General features: G+C 38.4%; 1 pseudogene, besides 1 other annotated feature; it reads left to right on the top strand.

Annotated features, from left to right (window-relative positions):
• Window positions 3,581–3,875: a silencer, noted in NCBI's record as "tiled region #5849; HepG2 Repressive non-DNase unmatched - State 24:Quies". NCBI's record gives its function as "represses a minimal TATA promoter and a strong SV40 promoter by Sharpr-MPRA in HepG2 cells {active_cell/tissue: HepG2}" and the evidence as "EXISTENCE:reporter gene assay evidence [ECO:0000049][PMID:27701403]".
• Window positions 8,517–8,810, top strand: RN7SL782P (RNA, 7SL, cytoplasmic 782, pseudogene; annotated as a pseudogene).

The raw sequence follows: 12,731 nt of genomic DNA, 5'->3' as shown, positions 1-12,731 counted from the left end.
AAGAATCCATTATCATTGCTGACTGTGCTGTGATGGTGAGTGTCTCTTTCATAAGGCCACAAAAATGGACATTTAATCATTTACTGAGTCGCGGCAGACCCTGGGCCAAGTAATTTAGGTGAACAACTTCCGGTATGACTACCTACAAATGGCAAAATGTTATAGAAATCTGGTTATTTCCTTTAAGAGTGTAAATCTGATACTTCTGCCTCCTTGGAAAAGACATTTTCTTGAGGTACTCGGAAAGAGAAAACAATTTCTTATTTTATTCTATAACACCCTCTAGTTATTTTCATATTTCTCATCATCCTTTCCCTTCCAGATTGCTAAAAGAATGGGTCTTCAAGCCCTTCCTCTTTTTCCTCACCACCTATTTTTTTCCTGAACTCCTGATTTTTCTTCCCACCAAACTAGAACCGACAAAGTTTCTAGTAGCCTACTGTAATAGCTTTTTAATATTTGTTTCCTAAATTAATTTTAGGAAGTTGGCCATTCTCATTCTTTCTGTCCTCTCTACGGCTTTTAGTTTCACAGAGGTCAGCCTGGCTTGACTCCAGGTTTCAGTGTCAGTGGTCTAGGGAGATTTTCTTTTTCATGAGAAAGGCCTCTGGATTTTAGCTGCCTGTGTCTAAACTCCACCAAACTCCAAGGTCCAACCTTGTCTTGATTTTTCTCTCTAACTTTCTCCTTCAGGGTTCTCATTCATCTTCACATTTTCAATCACCACCTGTTACCAGTGATTCCCAAAATGTTCTCTTGCACTTAACTTTCTCCCAGAGGATCAACCTCACAGCTTCATCATCTAGTTAAACATCTCTACATCAATGACTGTCTTGCTAACATGTTCATGTCATGGTCCCTGTTTCCCTCCAAGTCAACTTTTTCCACTCACTGAGACTTTAAATCTTCCTTCTCACACGATCTGTATCCCATAGCTACTAAAGTCTTTTCTATATGCCTCTAATGTCTGCTCTGCTTCCCACATCCACTGCCACCAATAAGGTCCAGAATCTTTTTACATCACATGTAGATTGTGGCCATAAGCTTCTCATTGGTTTCCCAATAATGCCTTCCCCACCTGCCCCCCTACAATCCATCTTGTCCCCTTAAGTTAGAGAATCATTTATACATTTGAAAACATCATTGTCAAAAATAAGAACTCTAAGCTTCTCATCTAGGTGTGGCAGGAAGAGTCTTGAGATATTAATTAATAGGGGATACCCAAATGCTACCCCTACCCCTCTATTATTAATATCTCCTATCCCATTTCTCAAAGGTAACCTAGTTTTTTGAAGATAGCGTTAATGTCTTTGAAGGTAGCTAGAGGTGAGAAAGGGTGATTGCTACAGATTCAGAAAAAAGATAGGGAATACAGTGTGTCTTCCACGGCAATGCCCCCCAAAGCAGTTAAGACTTCAGAAGCAACGGCTTTAGGGTCTACCCAAGAGATGGGACCATATTCACATTCTTAGCAAAGATTCCCAGATGCCACTGTTCAAAAAAAAAAAAAAAAAAAAACAGCAAGAGAGTCACAGGACTTCAAGGGGCTGTAAAGGACTTCAATGAGCACAGTAAATAAGAATGGTCAGCATCTTCACATTGGAATAGGCAATAGAGATCTGATCCTTTTTTTTCTGAGATTCAGACAAGTTTTCCAGATTCTAGTGTATTTTGGAATGACAGACAGCAAAATAATAACTAAAATGGACTTTCCCACCACGCTTAGTAGAAGTATGCTCAGAGTGGGATCTAATTTGGAATAAAATTCATATCCTTTACTCAAAATCCAATGCCCTCCAAAGTCTGCACCCCTTCATTTAGTCACTCATCAAAACTACACTGTGTGTTATGATTTGAAGGTGTGCCCTCCAAAATTCATATATTGCCAGTGTGATAGTATTAAGAGGTAAGGCTTTTAAGAGCTGATTCGTTCTTGAGTGCTCCTCCCTCATGAAAGAGATTAAGACCCTTATGAAAGAGTCTTCATACAGCCTTCAACTAGCTTGCCCTTCTGTTTTCTGGCATGTGAGGATGTTGCAAGAAGTCCCTCCCAAGACAGCAAATGCAGTGCCTTGATCTTGGACTTCCCAGCCTCCAGAACTGTGAGAAATACACTCTTTATAAATTACACAGTCTGTGATATTTTATTATAGTAGCACAAGTGGATTAAGATACTGTATATGTATTATGCTGCCTGGAAAGACAAAGGTAAAATAGGACACTTTCTGACCTCAAGTTATAATAGTGAGAAACAGGCAAATTCTCTCCTTTCTCTTCTTCAGGGAAACCTTCCCTAGCCTTCCCTGATCTTGGTGATATACCCTATGTGCGTTTTTAATAGTATGTGTTCCTGTGTTAAATGCTCCCAAGAAGAGGTAATTTTACATTTATTTGAGTGGTTATTTTATTAATTTCTGTCACCCCCCAATAGACTAAATTCCATGAGTACAGGGGCCATGTCAGTTTTTGTGCAGTCAATGTTTGTAAGGGACAATGCCTGCAGTGAACACTTCTTTTTCCAACATTAATACCTTCTCCACTGTACTTCACAACCTCTGCCATAGTCTCACAGGTCTCCTGTGAACACGTCATTGCATTTTTTTTGCCTTTAAACCTTTCTTCTACCATTCTCCTTCAACTGAATGCCAGCCCCCACTCTCACTATCATTCTCGAGGCACAGGATATATAGAGTCTGACATTTCAGTTATACTTTTCTCTGTAATTGTCCTGTCTCTCCAGTTGGTTAGCAAGCATCTCAGTTGTCAGTACTGTATTTTATAATAGCCCCAAATAAGGTACACTTAGTGTGTACTCCACTAGAGACCACTTTGCATATGCTTTGGGGATTGCATTCTCTGCAAGAGACTTCTCTGATGGTTAAATATGCATGGTAGCCCTAATTAATTGATATTTGTTGAATGAATATGGTCCAAAGCAGGACATCTTTGTGAGGCTCATTGCACTCAATTCATTTCAACAAGTTGATTCATTTCAACAAATGTTTCTTGAGTTCCTACTATGTGTCAGGAACTCTCCTAGGCAACTGGCATACTTCCAAGAATAAAACAAAGATCATTCTTTCCCTGGGGCTTATAGTTTAGTGGGAAAAACATATAGTAAGCCATAAATAATAAAAGTATGAAAATTAGAAGATGGGAAATTCTGTAGGAGAAAAGAAGAGCACAGGATGAATGTTTGGTGAAAGTTAACTTCTTGCCTCCAGATCTGGTCTAGTTATTGTCATGTCAAAAATGAAGGTCAACCTGGAGTAGGTCCTTATAAATCAGGTGAGGATCAAATCACCCCTCATCTAAAGGACTCAGAAAGAATCTGGAACAATTTGGAAGCCCACGTGGAGTTAATTGACCATAACTAAGGCAATTAGGCAGGGAAGTATTCAATGATAATACTAAGAAATTGCAAGCTGTGGCACAATAATGTTCATTTTGTAACCACATTAATCAAAGTTAATAGGATTATTTTTATTTCAATGATAATAATTAACAAATACTTTTGAGAGCCAACTATGGACATTGTACCTAGCTTTTCTTACATTATCACTGTAAATGTTTACAAATAATGGACTATGCATGATGTGCGGTCTATTATTTCTTCCATTTTGTAGATAAGGAACCACAGACATAGAGACTTTATGTAAGTTGTCTAAGGTAACACAAATAGTGCATGACAAGGCGGCGATTTGGAGACAGCAGCCTGACTGTTTAGTCATACTCTCAACTGCCACACCCTACAGCCTTGTGTTGATAAGAGATTGGGAAGTCAACCAATGGGAGGTTTAAGTACTGAGTCTACACATGTGCAACAATAAATAATTAGGAAATTACATGGGTAAATACAACTAAAATATAGTGTTATTGTTTCCATCAGGCAAAAGAGAACATAGGAGAAAAGAAATGCTCAAAAACAAAGGTATTCATTATACCAAAACCATGGTCTTAAAAGCAAATTAAAGACTCTTCATTCATTTTTTTCACAACATGGACAGAATCTCTCATTCAGATACATCCAGAAGGCCTGGTACTAATCAATAGGAATGCTTGTAAAACTTAGTAAATGTAATTTTATCTAGCTACTTGTCTTGACTGATTTTGATTAGTTTAATTCAAACCTCAACACTGTGGTTGTGGAATACTCTTTGGAATTTCTCAAGACATTCACTTTCCTTCTTTTAAATACGGTATATGTTTCCATTTTTATTGGATTGTCTAATGCACTAATATATTTAATTCCCTGTGATCTTTTTTATATAAGGGAGTTATCTTATTCTACTGATGTTTCTGTTGGACAGGCTGGGCTGCCCTCCAGGTGCCAATTGCCTGGTTAGAGGTCAATTGGAAATTGTACGGGACATCTCACTGGCCATTCCCTGAGCAGAGCTCTGGTGGGATCTTTAGAAAAATACATACCCAGTTCCATGAAATACATCTTTTCTAAGTTACAAAGAGCATTCCCTAGTGATCTTTTAAATCCAAAGAGCGCTCCTACTGCATATTTGAACTGAGGCACTCTTTCTGTTCATATCACATGTGGGTGCATGCAAGTTGAGGCCAAAAGATAGCCTTGTCATTTTCTTTAAATTTCAACTCAAAACTCCAAAAAGTCTTCCTTAATTAGCTTCCTCCACTCAGCATCTCTGCATATAGCTTGATAAATATTGTCATCACACATTAATCTTGGCTATTTAGTTCATGTATGTGTGCTTTGAATATCTTCCAGGTGATACACATCTTGAGGACTGGAATCATGTCTTCTGTGCCTTTTCTATTTCTAGCTTTCTTATTATACCTCTCTACCTAAGTGCTTAATGGAAACTTGTTGAGTTGAAGTGAATGGAGCTGAACTCTCGAACTGACAACTATATATCTAGATGGTTCTGTGCAGCCCCAATGCAGATGTACATCTCAAAGCCCTTTTAGCTTCAGAGCACTATAGTCTCCATGTCTTCTGCATATCTACAGCATAGAGAATTGTGCAGCCTCAAAGGTTCAGAAAGCGGCAGGAGAAGAAGCCACATATCCAACCGGGTTTTATTTTTTCTTTTCCTAAGTAGGTGCTATTGATTGTTTGGCCTCTCATAAAATACAGGTTTTAGTCAGCTAGCTGCCTACTCGATTTTGTTCATTTTTATTTATGCCTAATGAAAGCTTTCCAAGAATGTTCATTTATAATCTAGAAATATTTATTAGGTATATATGTTTTTGTGTCAGAAAAATTAAATCCAGAGGAAAATCATTCCTTGTGTAATATGGAAAAAGAACAACTCTAAAGACAAAAGTCAACTGTATTTGAATGAATTACCCATTCATGTTGGGCTCTGTCTCCCTACTCTTCATTAAGAATTTATCAATTTCTTAGAAGGAAAACCTACTATATGGTGACTCTATATCAATATTTAATGTAATAGTGCCTGGAGCACTGGATTGACTTTCTTACTGTGAAAATGGGAAAGAAAATTGAGACACTGCTCTATTTTCTAATGGTGAGACCCTTAGATAAATTACATTTTAGTTGTTGTTCTATACATTCTAGGAGTGATAATGATCAGGTTCTTTGTGTTCATTGATATGTTCTTGCTAATTTCATTTTGTTAGACTTAAGTGCAGCATTTAATGTTATTGATCAATGTGGAAAGTACCAAAATGCTCTAACACTCCCATGGCTATGTGGCTTGGCTCTACTTTGTCAAGAAAAGGTGGCTTATTGGCCTTCTTTCTTAGTTTCCTGAAATACCCGCTTTTTTCTCTACTTTCTCTGAGAGTAATACCTCACGTGCTAATAAGTATTGCATATTAACAAAAATCCCAACAGATTTTTGTGTTCATTTTTACATCTAGTACATTCAGGCCAAGCTTGATTTATTTGTGACATTGGCAATCCTCTTATTTTTTTCTCTGCTGCCTACCTATCTACCTTTCAGTGTCAGATATGGTGATTCTGTCGCTGCCCAGGTAGATGTTGACTCTGATGCAGCATCAAGTTCACCTAACACAAAAGACAGGACACCATGTAAAATAAGAACAGGAAAGAGGCAGACACAAACCACTATGAGGTATTACCTACCAACAGAGGTATATAACTCAGGCCAAGGTCATATTGTATTGTTGGTGGGGGTGGTCACAGGGGAGCGTGGGGTCCTGTCTTTGTTGCTGTTGGCTTTCCTTCTGGGACACCTGACAGTACAGAGATGAGAAATCTAAGGATAGAGTGGGAATCAATATGGTGACCTCGTCAGGCAGTCATACCTGAAGTGTCCTCACTTTGCCATTGAGTTTGGCTACAAATGATTCTTGATCAATCCCATGAGATAAAGGTTCCCAAGATTTTCTCCTCCAAAGCGTCCTCTCAAAGTGTTCCCTAAGAGCTCTTTCATCCCTGCATTTTCCCATTACCAGATTTTTGCATGGTAAAAAGTGAAACTTCTTTCTCCATGGACTTGAATGTGATTGGGACAGATTAGGGCCTGGGAGAATGCCTTGGTGATGAACGAATTTGACCATTATTAAGTGCATTTGGAGAATCCATCTCTGAAAAAGCAATTTGCAGCCCCAGATTCCCCAGATTCTGATAGTTATATTGAAGCCAAAGTATAACTCTTGTTCTTATATCTCTCAACTCTGGTATTTCCTGTTGCTTTAAGACCGCTATATTTTGGATTGTGATTACCATTGCCATCCAAATGAATCAGGACCAGGAAATTATCACTTCATAGTAGAACAGTTCACCACAGAATGCATACATGATACCCCACCTCTCATCTGTGGACAGGTTTTCTTGCCCAGATTTCTGTGGTGAGTGAGTTTGAAGTCTGTTGGCCAGCTGCAGAATGGAGAATACTCATTACTCAGCCCTATAGAAATAAACATCTGGTGATACCTTGTTTATCCAAGCATAGCATGCTTTCAACTGCTTTATAACTAGAGATTTTATATATGTGCAGGTATAGACATTATTCTGTATCTATACATATATATGGTTGATATATGTATATAAATACATAGAAGGTAATTGGTTGTATAAATATATAATGTGAATAATCCTTGAGAAAAACAATATGTTCAGAAGATACTGTGGAACCTACATTGAGAAGTAAAATATTTTTCTTGAATATGGAAAATATCTGTTCATTCTTTTTCTTTTGGTATCTGTGAGGCTTTTAAAATAATCTGTGAGTTTGTATAATTTGGGTAGAACAGAGTGCAGCTCCGTCATCAAGGGCAGGCATGTGACCCAGGGCTAGCCACTCAGATTATCCCTGGGTTTGGTTTAGAGATGGCTCATGATCTAGTCAGGGACAATGCAACTCAGTTCTAAGAGGTTAGAGGAGCTGTTGGGGAAAGAAGCTCTGTAGCTGGTGTAGCCATCTTGGCTCTAAGAGTGAAGAGGCTGCATAAGAATGGGACTCATGCACAGGGTGGTAGAGCCTAGAGGCAGAGACAGCCAGTGCTCTGGAGGATAGAATGTACGGTTAGGTGAACCTATAAATTCATCTCTTTTGCTTAATTTAGTTTAACTTGAAATTCATTTAAAATTGAAGTTGAACTGAACTATACATGGGTTTACTACTCAGGTAGGTCAAGGAAATGCTGCAAACACAGTGTGTTAGCCTTTTAGCAAAGCATCTGACAGTGTTTCTCATGAAATCCTTGTGGATAACATGCAGAAATTTGGAGTGGATGCAAGTACAATCAGGTGACTTCATCGATAATTGAAGGATCATTTCCAAGAATGCTAATTCCATGTCAACCTGAAGGGAATTCTATAGCTGTGTGCCTCAGGGTTCTTTCCTGGGCCCGTCTTTTTTGACATATTTATCAAAGGTTTGGATGAGCACACTGATGGCATTCCTATCAAATGCTACAGATGACAAGATGATTGGAGGACTAGGTAGTATGTTGGATAACAGAGAATCGTTTCTAAAACTATTCATAAGCTAGAGTATAAAAATGGAATTTTAAGAAGAACGAATGTAAAATCTTTGAATTAGATCCAAAAACTAATTATACAAATAACTGGGTAACACTGGAAATTTAGTCAAATGTAATTTTGAAATGTTGAACAACATGATATGGCTGCCAAAATAAATAAATAGAGTTACATTGGACTGCACAAATAGGATACAGTAGTGATGGAGGCAGATGTCATGTTGCACATATCATAAGGTTAGGCTTGCAGGGTAGAAAGACAGAGAGCCAAAGAAAGTAAAGTTTTCAAATATTTCTACCTGAATATGTAATGATCTTCCCCCATTGTGCCAAATCACATTGCAAAAAGGACAAAAATTACCAATGGAAATATTCACAGCCCTCTCTCTGCTCCCACCTGCTATTTGTATATTCTACATCCCCCTTCCCAGAGAGGGTTTTCTCTGAGAAACAAGCTACGTTATGCTACATAATAAAGGATAGTGTGGGAAAGAAGGATGGGGTAGAGGAAGACACAGAAAAGCCAGTGAGCACATGTGAAGAAAGAGCTGGGTGTGTTTAAAGACAGAAGGGTCTGGTGCGGTGGCACACGCCTGTAGTACCAGCTGCTCAGGCTGAGGTAGGATGATTGCTTGAGCCCAGGAGTTCTGAGCTTTTGTGTGCTATGCCAATTGGGTGTCTGCACTCAGTTTGGCGTCAATATGGTGACCTCATGTGGGTGGAGGATCACCAGGTTGCCTAAGGAGGAGTGAACCAGTCCAGGTCAGAAATGGAGCAGGTCAAAGCTCCAGTGCTGGTTAATAGTGGGATGGTGCCTGTAAGTAGCCACTGCATCCCAACTTGAGCACACAGCATACCCGGTGTCTTTTTTTTTTTTTAAAAAAAGAAGAGCTCCAGGGTATGTTTTAGAATAGGAAAGAATGGGGGAGAAAAGAAAGGGAGGAAATTTAATTTGGATTATAGTAATCACTCAAGAGTAAACCCAAAATGCATTTTTCACATAATTACCTGGCTTTAGTACAAGGAATCCATGGATTTGTGTTATCAAAGACTTTTCATTTACCTGCATTTCATTTCCTGCCACATTCTGATCCCACCCATTTTCCCACCACAGGCTGATGGAAGTCTTATGGGAAAAACTACCACATTCCTAACCAAGAGGATATGTGGTTTCATACCATGATATGTTTGAATCTGAATTCTATTGGGTGAACATAGTACTGGAGGTTTGGTCAATGCAATCACATTGAAGTAAATAAAATTTGGAAGAGAAAATTTGCCATTGTTTGTAGGTTACATAATAATTTACTTAAAAACAGAAGCAAATCAACAAACTATTAAAAGTAATATGAGAGTTCAAGTCAGCAAGGTAGAGAAATAAAATATCATCAACCAAAGAGAAATAACATTTTTTACACTAGCACTAACCACTTAGAAAATACAATAGAAAATAAAGCACTATTTACAATAACACAAAGCTATGAACTTCCTAGGAAATAACCTAATGAAAATCTTTACAGGGGAAGTTTTAAGATTCAACTGAAAAAAGATAGATTTGAATAAATGGAAAGTTACACCATATAAATGGATGTGATTGTTTTACAATGTAAAGATGTAGACTTCTGCAAATTGATCTACAAATTCAATGCACTTCAATAAAAATTCCAGCAGAATATTTGCAGGGAACTGGATAAACTGATTCTAATTAATATGGAACTATAAATTAATTAATTAATATAGAACAACTAAGGCAATTTTGAAAAAGAAGGCAAATAAGAAAACTGCCCTAGCAGACACTAAGAAATACTACAGATATTATGACAAATTATACTAGTTAAAACAATATACTACTGGTGAAAGAACAAATGACAAATACAAAATAACAGAGTTACAAAACAGTTTCGTAGGGTTATACAGAGTTTCAGGGCAACCTTTGAAGCCTCAGGGCAGAAAAGTATGTCTTTAAGTAGAACCCCCAAGGCATAATCCATAAAGAGATAAGGACTGAGTTTGACTACATCAAAATAATTCAAGTTTCCTATTCCACAAGGAATACTACACACAACATTAATAAATGACTCGTAGACTGGGAGATCTTCACATAAATAACCGACAGAACATTAGTTTCTAGAATATCTAAGAAACTCTCAAAAATCTTCAAGGAAAGGACAGAAACCCAGCAGAAAATGAACAGAAAAAGGTATGAATAGGCAATTCATGAAACTCTAATGGTGAAAAACTGTTTGAAGAGATGCTTAGTCTCACTAATAATCAGATAAATACCAATTAAGACTATCAGGATATATCACTTGATACTATTCATATTGGCAAAATTCAAGCATTAAAGATATCATCAGCTGGCAAGAATATAGAGCTATAGGAACCCTCATGCAAACCAGGTGGGAGCATAATCTGGTACATAATCCATTTTGGATTGCAATTTTGCAGAATTTTTTTTTTTTTTGAGACAGAGTTTCGCTCTTGTTGCCCAGGCTGGGGTGCAATGGTGCTTTCTCAGCTCACTGCAACCTCTGCCTCCCAGGTTCAAGCGATTCTCCTGCCTCAGCCTCCCAAATAGCCGGAACTACAGGTGCGCACCACCATACCTGGCTGATTTTTTGTGTTTTTCATAGAGATGGGGTTTCACCACGTCGGCCAGGATGGTCTGGAACTCCTGACCTCATGTGATCTGCCCACCTCAGCCTCCCAGAGTGCTGGGATTACAGGCGTGAGCCACTGTGCCCAGCCAATTTTGCAGAATGTAATGGTACTAAGTATTCGTGTATCCAGTGATTCAGAGACTCTGCTCCTGGCACAACTATGTACAGAGAGACACACAAGGAGGTGCATTGCAGCATTGTTTTTGGTACGGTGAGTTGGAGGCAGTATGTGTGTCTTTCAGTAGGGGAATAGGAAAGTATAATAGAGTACTTGCCTAGGATGGAATAATATGCAGTAGTCAAAAGAAATTAATTAGATTGCCATATAGTAACATGGCTAGATCTCAAAAACATACTGCTGAGTGAAATAAAACAAATGAAACTTATAGCACACAATAATTGTGAAAATTCCTCCCCTCATTCACATATACCAAAGAATATTTTTACAAATACACATAGATACATCTTAACAAATTTACAGAAGGTAGTTTGGAAGAGCTGACATTGCAAACATAAGAATGAAGACTTGTGAGAAAATGGGGAATAGGATCAGAGATTTGGATGAAAGAGGAAAGTAAACTAACAGGAGTGGCCATGCACAGACTAATGAAGTGCTATGAACCAAAGAGCATGATTCACTCACTGCTATATAGGCAAGGACCAAAAAAATAAAAAATGAAGAGGGGCAGGGAAGGTTAAAAAAAGTGACTTCTTGAAGGATATCAAACCAGGATGTCTTTTTCCCTAAAAAATTTGAATGAGGCTTTATTATTTAGATTTTAGGCAAAAGCTATTTTTAAATGATCCATAAGAGGAAATATCATTTTGCTCTGAGGTCCTAAGTTTCGAACTGTCTATACATCAAAAGAAATCAACTTAATTTATAAAATATGCATCCTTTCTGTCCTTTCATATTTTTATCTATCTAGTTATAACCTAATGCCTAACTGTTTACATGGTGTCATGGTATATAAACCATTTTCATGTGAACTGTAACATTTGATCTTCACAAAAATTTATAAAGTAGATGACTTAGGTATTAGTTTCCCTTTACAAATGAAGGGATAACAGTTTATAAATGCTTACTGATTTACCAAAATCTTATTGGCAGGAAGGGCCAGAGCCAGGGACTGAATCTGATCATTTTACACAAAATTACACGAACTTTCTACTATATCCACTGTACATAGGTGAGTGTGTCCAATACACTATTTTCCTTAATAATTAGAGCATCTCTGGAAGGAAGGGACCATTGCAAAATGAAGAAACTGTAGCTCAGAAAATTTTACTCAAAATCAGGTAAATCATACCTGTAACCCTAGCAGTTTAGGAGGCTGAAGTGGGAGGATCAGTTTAGGCCAGGAGTTTGAGACCAGCCTGGGCAACATAGTGAGACCCTGTTTCAACAGAAACATCATAAAACTTAGCCAGGCATGGTGGCACACAAGAGTAGTCCTCGCTACTCAGGAGGCTGAGGCTGAGTCCAGGAGTTTGAGGTTACAGTGAACTATGATTGCACCACTGCTCCAGCCTGGGCAACACAGTGAGACTCTGTCTGTAAAGAAGATAAAATAAATAGACAATAAATTTTAAAAAATGGGCAAATAACAAGTGCACCCTGCTTCTGTGCCTTAATCAACAAAAGGCCAACACTGAAACAACATCTATCCAACACTTTCTAAGAAGTGGAATTTTTTTTTTTCTTTTTTGAGATGGAGTCAAATTCCGTCACCCAGGCTGGAGTGCAGTGGTGTGATCTTGGGTCACTGCAACCTCCGCCTCCCAGGTTCAAGCAATTCTCCTGCCTCACCCTCCTGAGTAGCTGGGATTACAGGCACGTGCTGCCACACCCGGCTAATTTTTGTACTTTTATTAGAGATGGGGTTTCACTGGGTTGGCCAGGCTGGTCTTGAACTCCTGGCCTCAGGTGATCTGCCCACCTCAGCCTTCCAAAGTGCTGGGATTGAGGGCGTGAGCCTGTAGGATTCTTAAAAATAGTAAGCCAATGCTGGAAAATTCAGTAGCAGTTCTGCTCTGAGGACTATTTTTTCCTGTTGAGCTCTGCAGAGGCTCCTGCAGTCTCCAAAACTCAGCTTTGATTTGCAGGGAAATGCTGCCAGCAGTGGA

The sequence above is a fragment of the Homo sapiens genome, chromosome 5 (assembly GCF_000001405.40).
Source record: "Homo sapiens chromosome 5, GRCh38.p14 Primary Assembly".
In the NCBI taxonomy this organism is placed as follows: Eukaryota; Metazoa; Chordata; class Mammalia; order Primates; family Hominidae; genus Homo; species Homo sapiens.
This window is presented reverse-complemented; position numbering and strand designations above follow the sequence as displayed.